Source organism: Homo sapiens, chromosome 13, assembly GCF_000001405.40.
Source record: "Homo sapiens chromosome 13, GRCh38.p14 Primary Assembly".
In the NCBI taxonomy this organism is placed as follows: Eukaryota; Metazoa; Chordata; class Mammalia; order Primates; family Hominidae; genus Homo; species Homo sapiens.
In genome coordinates, this window is record NC_000013.11 from 67,614,045 (window position 1) to 67,627,930 (window position 13,886).

Below are 13,886 nucleotides of genomic sequence, written 5' to 3' on the forward strand. Positions count from 1 at the left end.
TATTGGCAGATACGACAGTTGATAGTATCTTCTCAGTTGTGCAAATGTTGTCTAAAAGACAAATCTGACTCACAGGTGATGTTATGCATATGCAAAAGTCTCAGCTTTAGGCTTTTAATATGTAGCACTTAATTTTGTGCAAAAGAGATACACTGTTATTTATTTATTTATTTATTTATTTATTTATTTATTTAGAGATGGAGTCTTGCTCAGTCGCCCAGGCTGGAGTGCAATGGCGCAATCTCAGTTCACTCCAACCTCCGCCTCCCGGGATCAAGCAATTCTCCCGCCTCAGCCTCCTGAGCAGCTGGGATTACTAGCACCCGCCTTCATGCCTGGATACTTTTTGTATTTTTGTAGAGACAGGGTTTCACCATATTGGCCAGGCTGGTCGAGATACACTATTTTTTATTGCAACTACTTGGTTAGTCAGGGTTCTGTCCTTTTTCACAGTACTTTGTTCAGCCTCAGTAAAATTATTTTGTAGGTTTGAAGCTAGTATTCGGTCATTTACTTAAAAAAATACTTTTTTTCATTTAATTTTTTCTCATTTATTCTAAAAGAATTTTCCCCCATTTTCTATCATGCAAATGAATTCAGAATCTATAACTTAATAGTTATATTTTTTCAGTTTGAACTATATGTAACCTTATGGGACAATCTGAATTTTAACATCAATGAAAAAATCCTTAGCATAACATATGAGAATTTTTAACTGAAGTTTTAATGAGCTGAGGTAAGCAAATTTGCGTTTGATATCTACTTTTAATTGCATATGAGTCTATTTGTTCAACTACAAATTAATTTATACAAGGGTTATACAACTGGTAATGGTACCTCATGTTTGATTTGACAAGTTTAATGTTTTTTAGAAATTTGAATTTGAATAATTTTAAGAAAAAGCATCAAGTTCTAATTTTCTAGGTTTCTCATCACTTTCTGTTTTATGAGCATGTATATGCATCATTTTACCCACTTGGCCACACAAAACGTTTAAGATTGAGATGCTCAAATTAAAGGAATGTTAATAACAAATTCAAAATAATGCAAAGAATGCAGAATTAGCTGCATTAGTGCAATTACAACAACTTGAAAAGCTAAAATCTTGCTAATAATAATAAAAATGTAACTACAATTCCTGACTAACTTATTCTAGGATGCCCCTTGGAAGAACTGGAAATTTAAAATCTGTGGTCACAAAGGAGAGTAAAGAGAAAAGACATGCTACCCTCTAAAATTACATAATTTGTTAAAAGAAGACAGAAAACAATAGATAAAAGAAAAACAGGATGTTGGGAGAAATGTGGAAAGAAGACACAAAGTAAAGAAGACAAAAGTCAAGTAACCTTCTGAGGACAAAGAAGCAATTCTTTGGTTTCATAAATACTTTCAAATTTATATTTAGCTTATTCATTTCTATAATCCTTATGTATTTCTCTTACATTTTTCCATAGTGTCTATCTATTAATTGTATCTTTACTTGAATGGAAATTACCTCTTACCAGAGTGAATGGTATATGTCAGAGTGACTGGTATATGTCAGAATGACTGGTGTATGTCAGAGCAGAACTTTCCCACTAATGTCATGTAATGTGAGGACACAGTATTGTAAAAAGTTTACTAAGTATTTTAATACAAGAAAATATCAAGCACAGTTTACGATCTGTGTATATTTTGGTGCAGGGCACAGGAATATAGGTCCATGAGTTTCTTTGAAGGTAAATAGACCAATAGATATACAATCACAGCATAAATTTACTCATCAACATTCTTTTTTCTTTTTGTTTAGGTCAAATTATATATTTTGAGTTCCCAGTTAACAGTGTTTACAGATGAGGTTATGATGATGTTATTTGGCTATATCCCAGTGGTATATCAATTGTTGGATTAAAAAACATTTGATGTGATTTAAATCTAATTCTGAATATACTTTAAGTAAGTTAGCAGCAACAAATAAAACAAAATCTAGTAAACTCATCAGTTGGTAAAGGACATGGGATATTGAAGTCTTTCCTTAAATTGCACTATTTTTCCTTTTATTCTGAGTTATGATATATACAACACAGAGGTTTTCTATCTTCCTAAACCCTTTTGGGTAGTTATCTAACCTTTAATAAGCTAAACTTCTGAGTTCAAATTCAGTTTATAAAATGGCATTTTCCAAAGAACAGGAAGAGTCATATTTAGAAAATATAAATGCATCGTCGATGTGTGTATTTGCTATTCACTTTTCTCAATGTTCTTATATCATCCAAAAATATCTTCCTAGGTGCTATAGCCAGACATTTTTTCCCTTCATATATTAGCAACATATCCCTGTTGGATAAAAATATTCAGTGTTTCTTTCTTCAAAGCACCTTAAAATTCAGCTAGCATTTCATACTTTTTTTTCATGCTTGTAAAAAAATATCCAGAGAAAAGTATATTTTGTCCATAAAAATCTGATTATTAAACTTTTGGAACAACCACCACAGAAAACAAAGCCAAAGATTAGAGGATGGTGGAAATGTGTAAAGAGAGATCCATGAAACTATTCAAATTCTAAATTATATTCAGTTTCTAGTGCAAGTTAAAGAGACTTAATAATGCTCAACACTTTGATGTGCTTAAAGAGCTGGACAGGCTCTGCTACTTCAGCAAAATAGAAATGCAGGTATATTCAGCCTTTCATACTCATGGGTTCTGCAAAATGCAGATTCAAATAATGTAAATCTGCATTTTGTAGAACCCATGGGTATGAACCACAGATCCAAATAATGTAAATCTGCATTTTGAAGTAAGTAATGTAAATCTGCATTTTGAAGTAAGTAATGTAAATTTGCATTCTGCAGAACCCATGTAGATCCAAAATATTTTTTAAAAGGATGGATTGCATCTTTACTAAACATGTACAGACTTTTTTTTGTCATTATTCCCTAAGCAACACAATGTAATAATTATTTACATAATATTTAGTATCACAAGTAATCTAGAGATGATTTAAAGAACACAGGATGATATGCATAGGTCATATGCAAACAACATGCCATTTTATATAAGGGACTTGAACATCCATGGATTTTGGTATCTGCAGGGGGTCCCAGAATCGTTTCCCCTTGGATACCAAAGGATGACTTTATTTCACTTCTAAGAGATGGTGCTCCTGAGTAGTGCTCCTGAGTAGGCAGCCTTTGGGCAAAGGAAGTCAACAGAAGGTTTAGCAAATGCATCTCAATTGAAACATAATCTATTTATAATACAATTTACCTAATCCTATGCCAGGCATCTGTGGGCTGGGCTTGAAAGAAAAACAAAAACAAATAAAACACCGAAAACAATTACCTAGAACCACAAAGCCATAAACTGCTAGAAAATAAGAGCAGTTGGTGGTCTTAGCTGATTAGTGGCCATCAAAGATAGGCTTGGGGTTCTGTCAATCAGGAAAACAGCCAAACGCACAAACCTCCATATGATTATTAGTATTATTGCTCAGTAGAAACATATATCCCCCAAAGCAAACATAATTACAACAGCCTGCTTTATGTATGGACTGCATCTCTCCCTTATTCATAGCTTTAGCATATTATGCAAATCTCTTTTATTTTAAGCTTCAATAATGAATCATTTTAGTACTGGTTTGAACAAAATTTAAGGAAGCCTGCTTTCTATGGAAATTGACAAATTTTATCCGTGCAGATTTTCCTTCCCTCTTCTATATTTTTACCAGGATTTATGATGTTTTCTCTTCTCCTACACTTTTTTTTTCTTTACATATATTTGAAAATGAATCAAATAGTGTCGTTATGTACATGGAAGGGGTTGACAGGGCTTGCCAAGTTGCTGGTGGATCAGGTCATACCAGCAATATTGAGTGATCCCTTATCTAGTAACCCTTGCCATGTACAGAACTATGTGCTAGATACTAGAGAAACAAGAATAAAGCAACCCTTCCGCTTTGTAGATTTGTTTTTTTGGCATGTCTAAATGTATAGGATAACAAGATGTATATGTACATGTGTATATATGTGTGTATATATATTTTTTCTTAAACACTGTGTGTGTATGAGTAAGAACAGACGTCCTAATTAGAAGATTATCTGCTTGGGCCGGGCGCGGTGGCTCACGCCTGTAATCCCAGCACTTTGGGAGGCCGAGGCGGGCGGATCACGAGGTCAGGAGATCGAGACCATCCTGGCTAACACGGTGAAACCCCGTCTCTACTAAAAATACAAAAAATTAGCCGGGCGTGGTGGCGGGCGCCTGTAGTCCCAGCTACTCGGGAGGCTGAGGCAGGAGAATGGCGTGAACCCGGGAGGCGGAGCTTGCAGTGAGCCGAGATCGCGCCACTGCACTCCAGCCTGGGCGACAGAGCGAGACTCCGTCTCAAAAAAAAAAAAAAAAAAAAAAAAAAGAAGATTATCTGCTTGATGAGGGCTATACTAGGTTTGAGTGCACACATAATCAAGTTAAGCAGAGAGTTGGAGCTGAACATTTCTTCATGATTAAGGAGTGAAAAATTTGGAGAACCTGAAGAAAGAGATTGGGATCAGGAAGGCTGCATAAGCAAAAAGGGAAAGAAAGAGAATAAAGGTAGCTGATTATGGCTAACCACAGAACAGATTTTAGGTAATAATTCTGAGGACTAGAAGTTGTTTCTCATGAGCATTTAATTTAGAACTTTCCATTCCTAACTGTATAATCCTCAGTATATTTGATGTTTCTCATACTTGTGTTTATGCATGAAATATTTGTTATAAAAACATATAACAAATGATATTATCAAGACACATGGAGACACCACCCAGCTTAAGAATTTAGTATTTGCAGCTATAATGGAAGCATTTTATATACTTTCATATTCTTTCTTCCCCAGAGATTGCCATTATCCCAATTCCTATTTTTCATACATCTGTATGATTATACATACATACATGACAAGTTATTTAAATGAATATAGTAGGCATTTTAGTGTACTTATTCTTCAACCTGTGATATGCTCTATATTATTTTCAGAGAGGTAGTTTTGGAGAGTCAGTTTATTTATAAAATACAAACAATTTCTTTAAATTCATTTGTTGTATTGATTTATTGATTTTTTAATCCCTCATTTTTTGATTACTGGTTTGAGAATTATTAAATTATATTTCTATTCCTTTAGGGGTTATCCTTTGAAATTTAGTATGAAGATGTGAGTCAGTAAAGGCTAAAGTTATTTAACATTTATATTTTATTCCTGAAAAATAAAATAATCATGGAAGTGAGACTGCTCTGCTCTTCTCACTCACTGCTCTTCCCATCCCCAGCCACGTACACACAGCAAAGATACGTTTTCTCTTTGTTCTCTCTCTCTCTCTTTTATCTTCCATAGCCCATCAGATTGCTGAAGTATATAGGTCATTGAACATCCCAGTATTGGGTAAGGGTCTTAGTCAAAGCTCTCTATCTCCTTCAAGACCTATCCAAGCCTTGTCATTTTTCCCTCTTCATTCCTGAGAGCTGTGACTCTTTTTACTCTAAAGTCAACACTGCCAGAAAGTCTGACTCACTGGATCTGAAATGAGGCTTGAAAAATCCAGTCTTGTCAAAGCTTTGTGGATTATTCCAAAATTGTCTGAGACTTTAGAGCAACCATTTAGATAGTTATATATTCCAGTTTATTGGGTGTCTAATAGTTGCACTACAGATGATCTCTTTTTGTAGGTAGATTATGTGAGTATTCCTTTTTCAGAATATGTTGCTCATGCATAATACTTGTGTTGCTTAGCACAGAATATGGCATAACACAGGCCATCAAAATTTATGTGTGGACTCAATTAGCAGATGTATAAAACAAATGATAGAAGACAGTTATGAAAAGCCTGTAAGGGACAAAGATTTACTTCTAAAATGTGGTATAATGAAATAAGTTCTATTATTCTGTAATTTTCATAGCTATTTTGAGAGAGGAAAATACAGATAAATGGAATATCTATAATTGAGAGGGGGAAAATATATTTAAGAGCCCTGAAAACCTGAATTGAAAATTGGAATAATAACTTAATAGAAGAAGGGTGACTGTGTCTGGAGTAGACGCTTTATTGTCCTTTAGCATGAGTCACTCTCTGTTGGTTTATTTATAACTCTTCTGCCATGTTCTGCAGTGATGTAAATCCTATGATAAAACAGAGCAGGGGTACACCCAGCAGGTTGGCTCTACTTTTCCACATATTTTCTTTAATAAGACCTGGGGCTTGCAGAGGCTGACTGCTCTTATAGCAGGGACTGTTGACAAGGCATAGCACAGCATTACTCTTTAAACTATGCTGCGATTCCTGACATCAGCAGAATAGTCATACTTATGCAGAAAAGGAAGTAGCATTAGTGATTAGGCATTTTAACTCTGTAAGAAGAAAAAGAATTCAAAAACTTTCGAATTTTGTGAAGATTAAGAAATGAAAAAAAGAAAATCTCAGTATCTCTGTGATACTAAGAGCAATTTCAGTGCTGTGGAGAGGGAAGTGCATTCTCAAAAAGACCAACACATTGAGATTGATACCTAGAACATAATTGGTTCTGTAAAGAGGTTTTCTGCTTGGCTAAACTATATTTTCACACTTAAAAGTCACAGTAGAAAAACCTTGTACCAGACATTAGAAAACTTTTTTCTTTTTTAATTTAAGGATCAATGTTTGTCTTTAATCCGGAACAAATGACCTCTTTGAATCTAAAATGAGGAAATAAATAAGTCTAGCTTTCTCAGGAGATCAGTAATAGGATACAAAGATGTTAACTTCTAGCTCACAGATGCATTAAATTCCAACCAAACCACTGGTGACTAAACATTATAATATCCAATAGCTTTTTTTTTTTTTAAATAACTTGATAGTCCCAGTTCAATTTCCAAACATAGACGTCACATAAATACAAAACATGACTCAATTAGTGATTCCGTCTTTAGCTGCAGCCACATATTAAAGGAACATTTTTCTCATCTGTAAAAGAGACATGCAATGCAGATGGGGACCATTTCTTTCTGATTCAACTAGAGATCTCAGGGCAAGGATGTTTAAATCAGAAAACAAAAGTTGTTAGCAGTTAAGAACGTAAACTTTTTTTGTAAATCTGTATTTGTCTCCTCCAGTTTTGAACACTCTAGATGATTCTTTTAGAGACGCCTTTCATAGGAGTGTGTGGAATTTCTCTCTGAGTAAATTGCTCTACTTCTTGGGAAATTATTAATAAATTTCTGAGCAGAAGCATATGATTACACTTTCACTGAGCATGAAACAGGATCATGCTAAACTGGACAAGTTAATTGCTTTATCCTGGAAGGTGACCCATTTACTTCAAAATATTTTGAATATATATCACATATATTACATAAATTCCAATATATAATTGTTCACTTTTTTTGCTTATTTACTTATCCTACTTATATACTACTTACATACACAATAATTCAAACACCCTCCATTTGAAAAAATATAAGATGTAAATTTATTGCATACTGAATGGCTCAAACATATCTGTAGTCTTAAACACTATTACAGTTATATTGGAATCAGTGGCATACAATTATTTTCTAAGTGTTTTTCTTTTTAACATTTTCTGTTTCAGTCGACTAAGAAATGCTCTTTAACTAGCACATTCATTCATTTGGATAGACTAATTAATGCAGAATTTTATTATAAAATATTTTCTCTTCATATTTATGAACTTTTTCTCACCATATTTGTTATTTCCTCTGTATCTGCACAGTCCAACATAGTTGGACATTAGCCCCAGGTTGCTGTAAAATTAAAAATTCAGTTTCACAGTCTCATTCCTCATTCCCCTTTGTGAACTCAAAGCCACACATGGCCAGTGGTTACCTAATTACAGCAAAAATAGAGCATTTGCATCATTTCAGTGAGTTTTATTGGACAGCACGGCTTTGGATTATACCATATTGATTCATGTGATATACTGTCTGTCTATATGTGTATATATATATATGTATATGTACATATCCACACACTAAATTAATCCAGTGTGTGTGTGTGACTAAATTTAGTCCATATATTCTACTTTCCTATTACTCATGCAAAATTCATATTTGCCTCAGTATGTTAAAATTGCTTTCATTTTAGTATGCTTGTCCAATGTAAATCTTTTGACTTTTTTGGCTGATACTATAAAATGTGAACTAAGGAAGTATTAGTGTTCGTATTTTGCATGTATTCAATTGTAATAATGGAGAAAGCCAGATGAGATAGATACAAGCAGAGATAACTCCATTTTTATATACCAATTTTAGCAAAAATGAAGCTCAACTATAAGAGAGTAATGAAAAATAGCAAAAAAAATCATATTATTATTCCATGCATCTGAAGTTTTTAAAATTCCTGTAACAACATTACACGGACATAATAGATCCCACTCTTTTAAATAAATAAATTAATTAAGACATGTATCACCACCTTATGATTTTTTATTTACATCCTATTTTTATTTATTTCTCATTTGCTGTAAAGGCAAATAGGAAAACCTGCACAGGAATATAAGCATGGTCTCCAAATAATAAAAGCAAAATAATACACATGTAGTTCTTCATCACATTTATTTCCATAAGCAATCACCAATCCCCCCCACCAGAGGATTCATTTACTAACATCAAGGGTAATATGTCAGCTACATAAATTTTCAATAATCTAGTTAAAGATATTTGGAAAGCTGAAGCACTGGTTCATTAAAGTTTTCTTTTTATTCAAAGTTTCACTCAGAGAATAGTGAGTGAATATAGTTGCTATGTTTTGAATGTCTGTCCTCTCCAAAACTATGTAGAAACCTGATCCCCAGTGTGGCAATACTGAGAGGTGGGGTCTTTAAGAGGTGATTGGTAATGAGGGCTCTGCCCGCATAAATTTGTGGGTTAATGCAGGAGTCCCAGATCCCTGGGCCATGAACCGGCACCATGGCCCCTGGTCCATGTCTCGTTAGGAACTAGGCTGCACAGCAGGTGAGCAGAGAGTTAGTGAGCAAAGATTCATCTGTATTTATAGCCATTCCCCATCGCTTGCATTACCCCCTGAGTTCCACCTCCTGTCAGATCGGCAGCGGCATTAGATTGTCACATGCAATGGATCTAGGTTGTGCTCTCCTTATAGTAATCTGATGGTGAATGCCTGATGATCTCTCACTGTCTCCCATCACCCCCAGATGAGACTGCCTAGTTGCAGGAAAACAAGCTCAGGACTCCAACTTATTCTATGTTATGGTGAGTTGTATAATTATTCCAAAATATGTTTCAATGTAATAAGGGTGGTGGCTCATGTCTGTAATCCCAGCACCTTGGGAGGCCGAGGTGGGTGGATCACTTGAGGTCAGGAGTGTGAAACCAGACTGGCCAACATAGAGAAACCCCGTCTCTACTAAAAATACAAAAAATTAGCCAGGCGTGGTGGCACATGCTTGTAACCTCAGCTACATGGGAGGCTGAGGCAGGAGAATAGCTTGAACTGGGAGGCAGAGGTTGCAATGAGCCAAGATTGTGCCATTGCACTCCAGTCTGGGCGACAAGAGTGAAACTCCGTCTCAAAAATAAATAAATAAATAAATACATAAATAAATAAATAAATACAATAAAAAATAGAAATAAAGTGCACAATAAATGTAATGCACTGGAATCAATCTGAAACTACCCCTCCCCACCGTCTGAGGGAAAATTGTCTTACATGAAACCCGTCCCTGGTGCCAAGAAGGTTGAGGACTGCTGGGTTAATGGAGTAGTGAGTTATTTTGGGAATAGGACTGGTGGCTTTATTAGAATAGAAAGAAAGGCCAGAGCTAGCACACTCAGCTCCCTAGCCATGTGATGCCCTGTACTGGCCTGGAATTCTGCAGAGAGAGTCCCCATTCCCATTGGCAAGAAGGCCCTCTGATATGACCAGAAGATTCCATCAACCTTGGACTTCAATTAACTGTAAGAAATTTTTTTTATTTCTAAATAAATTACCCACTTTAAGGTATTCTGTTAATAGCAACAGAAACTAAAGCAATAGTATAATGGTTAAAAACATGGCTTTGGTGCAATAGAATCATAGATTGAATTTGCACAATTCCTTTAGCTTTTCTGAGACCATTTTTCTCCTCTACAATGGTAATAACAATACTTCATTGGGTTTCTCTAAATATTAAAATACAGTAAAATGTATCTTCTTGCTTACAATAAAGAATGTATACTTTAGCACTTTCCCCTTTGCCTCTCTCTTTCTAATTTGGGCTTTATTTTTTCTAAAGTTGATTAGGTTTCTCCTCGTAGTGAGAGACATGGGCACCAGTAACTACCAGAGACACAAAACCTCACAGCTGAACCTCAGGTAAAAAGCTCCTTCTACTAGCTTCAGATAAAAATAACGGAGAAATCTCACATATAGCTGCTCCATTTGCATGTCTATGCTGTGACCTAATCATCATGAAAAGATTTTTATGGTTTTCGTCAGAGGCCCATTTATTCTACAGTCACTCCATGTAGAGGAATGGACAATGTCTGCTTACATTAGGACTTATGCTACAGGTGGAGAGGCAGAACAAAGAAGAGAGAGTTGTTTTTAGAAGAAAGGAGGAATACTAGCAATTAAAAAATAAATAATATCTAGTTAGATTCACTGTCTTCATTATAATTAAATATTTAGTTTTAGTGTGTATTGTAAATAGATTGTGCAATTGCTAATATGGAAAGCTGATTACTCTGGAATCAGGTGGAATGAATCAATACCATTAACTGGTTTTCAGATGAGGCATACAATCCCCATCAATTAATACAGAAACTAACAAGCCTCTAGTTTTTCATTTTTAACAGCTGCCTCTATTTGTTGAAACTTGGTGGAACACAGTTTTGTGGCTTCAAGAGGGGATTTCTTTAAAGTTTAGAATATTGAAATTTCAAAAAAGTGGGAAGTATTTTAAGTACAAGATGTGCTATTCTCACCAATGAAATTGTAGCACAGTACAATGCAGTATGTATATATGAATCATTAGGTTACAGTACTTTTAGTAAGGAGGTAGTAACATAAAAACTGCTCACATTAGGGATATATGCCTTATTCTTTGGGCAAGATTGCACATTAAGTCTTTTAATTGTAATGAATTGGAATTTGAAGACCGGAAGTTTTCACTCACTGTATCTAGCCCAGACCTTACTAGTCTAGCCTTCCGTCTAGTCCTCCGACTGCCTGAAGCTGCAACTTTTCAATGATTGAAAAAGTTATTTCCCCTTTTGCTAGTGGTCTGAACTTTGACAACGGAATATGTTCTTGAAATTTAGTTATATATGTATCAACAAATTTATTTTGGAGTGTAGCTTATTTTCACTCTTCTTAATTTATTCAGGGCAGAATTTAAGGGTGTTTAATTATATCCAATTATATTATTCTTTTACGATATATGAGACATTAATTTCTTATTCAAAGAAACAAGCATATTTTATAAATAGGAAAGAATTCTTTTCCTGGGGTACATGAAGACATCACCTGTACTCATCACTTATTGAATAAGGGAAGATTATATCTTGAGAAAATATATAGAGTTGATATAGCTTGATTAAGCCAAGAGCCTGTAGATGCAGCCTCTTAATTACACGTGTTTCTCATAAACATCAGTTCATGGACTTGTTACTCATGCCCTGGGTTCTTGCAACCTCCCAGGATAGAAATCAAGAGAGACTACCAGGTATAACTGCAAGGAGAAGGTTTATTTAGCTTGTTCACAAGGGAACCAGTACCATAAAAAGAAAGAATGGGCTGCTGCCCAAAAGCAGTGTGGAAGTTAATTTTATACAGCTTTCCTATGAGAAAGAGTGATGTCAAGGCATGTATGGGAGGGCCCTTTATAACACTTGTGCAGTGGTTTAACATGTTTCTTTATACATTGCATGTAGCATTAGCATTTTAAATCTCCATTTCTAGGTATTATTGATAGTATTATAATGAAGATGGCGTAATTGTAGGTTTAGGTTAAGTCTGTGTATGTGGGGCTTCAGAGAAGTCCCTAACTCCATGCACTTGTGGTTAACAACATCTAGGGTCTGTTGTTGCTGATTGGCTGAAAGTTAGGTAAGCTACATCTTGAGTAAGGGGCTTTTGTTCTCCTCCAGACCAGATCACACCAGAAAGCCAGCCTTCCTGTTTCAGACTCATGTAACAAAATTGTGTAGGGTTTTTTGTTTGTTTATTTTTGTTTTCTTTTGTTTTCTTCCCCAAGGGTATACTATACAAGTTTGTATTCATTAGTTCTGGAATAATCATGGACAAAGTGGCATTTTGAGCTAGATTAGAAAGATTACTGGATTTGGGTAGAAAACATGAGTGTGTTGTATGTATTGCAGAGGTTGAGTTGAATTAGAAGAAATGGAAAGCAGTAAAAAGTTTTATGAAGTTCTTAAAACCTTCTGGTGGTATGAAAAAAATATTTTTTTTTAAATGAAGGACATTTAATTTGGGTAACTGGGTCAATGGTGATATATGTCATGCTTATGGAATATCTTGAAATTAAGCAGAAAAATAAGGTGACAATAAGAGAATAATGAGTGATTTTATGTTGTGGATAAGAAAAAATGACGAAAATAGTTTTGAGAGAAGAAGTGAGGTGTGTGTGTATGTGTGTGTATTATAAAATTGTGATTAACTTTTTGTCATATTGTTATTGGTTTTCCTTTTTTCAATTTATCATTTACATTTTAAATATAAAAAATCAAGAGTAACAGTACTTTGTCCCATCACGTGACTGTCACATTCTACCTTGTAAAGCTTTTGTTTAGTGTTTGAACATATACCTTCGTACTCTTTCCTCCTCCATTTTGCATAACATTCAAAAAGACTCTTCTTTTTTGTATGTGTAAAACACTGACCCTCACTCTGTAATACATATTCCTGAAATAGCATAATGTTTTGTCATTTCAACCATATATGTGCAGTAAATATTATCTGTCTGTCTTCTACTTGTATTTAGTGTTCTTCAGTTTGATCATGATATATTTAAGTATGAAGTTCTTTTTGAAGATGTAACTGAATGCTTTTCAAGAGTATTGTATCTTTCATCAATTCTAGAAATTTTCCGGATTAAGTTTTTTCCAGTATTTTCCTTCTCCAATCACTTTACATTCAGATACGTATTATGTTTTCTTATCCAATTGTCCCGTATCTCTTAAACCTCTTTTATATTTTATCTTTCTGATGTTCTGTATTGAATTCTGGGTATTTTCTTCAGATGAATCATCAATCTAACTAATCATTTCTTCTGCTGTGCTGATTCTACTATTTAACTCTTATGTAGCATTTCAATTTGAGTTATTACATTTGTTAACATCTCTACCAATAAGTTGGTTAATTAGTCTCCCTCACAGATCTGTATCTATTTCTAGTTTTCTCTTTTCAAGAAAATTTTCAATTTCTTTTGCAATACTTTAAGCATATTAAGAAGTTTTTATTTCACTCTTTAAAGTGTATTAGTTTCCTATTATTGCAGTAACAAATGACCACAACTCACAACTTCGTGGCAAATGTGTTCTCTTAAAGTTGTGGAGAACAGAAGTCTGAAATGAGTCTTCAGGAGCTCAAGTGAAAATATTGGCAGGGCTGGTTCCTTCAGGCAGCCCCAGAGTGGAATCTGTTCCTTTATTTCTCCAGCCTCTAAGGCATCTGGAATTCCTTGCTCCTTGGCTCTTTGGCTCATGGCTGCATCACTCCAGTCTCTGCTTCCTTCAACAGATCTCTTTCTCTCTGACTCTAACTCTACTGCTTCTCTCTTATAAAGATAATCCAGGATTACAGGATAATCTCAGAAAATGTCTCCATCTTAAAATCTTTAACTTAATCACATATGAGAAGCCTCTTTTACCATATAAGGTAACATATTCACAGGTTCTAGAAATTCAGATGTCAACATATTTG

General features: G+C 34.7%; 1 long non-coding RNA gene across 2 annotated transcripts in view; it reads left to right on the forward strand.

Moving 5' to 3' along the window:
• Window positions 1-13,886, forward strand: part of LOC105370249 (uncharacterized) — a 52,794-nt gene that overhangs the window by 17,682 nt on the left and 21,226 nt on the right. For both annotated transcript variants that reach the window (XR_942046.3, XR_942047.2), the window contains exons 3-4: window positions 9,157-9,214; window positions 10,237-10,316. This is a non-coding gene — a long non-coding RNA (uncharacterized LOC105370249). The remainder of the gene's footprint in view (window positions 1-9,156; window positions 9,215-10,236; window positions 10,317-13,886) is intronic.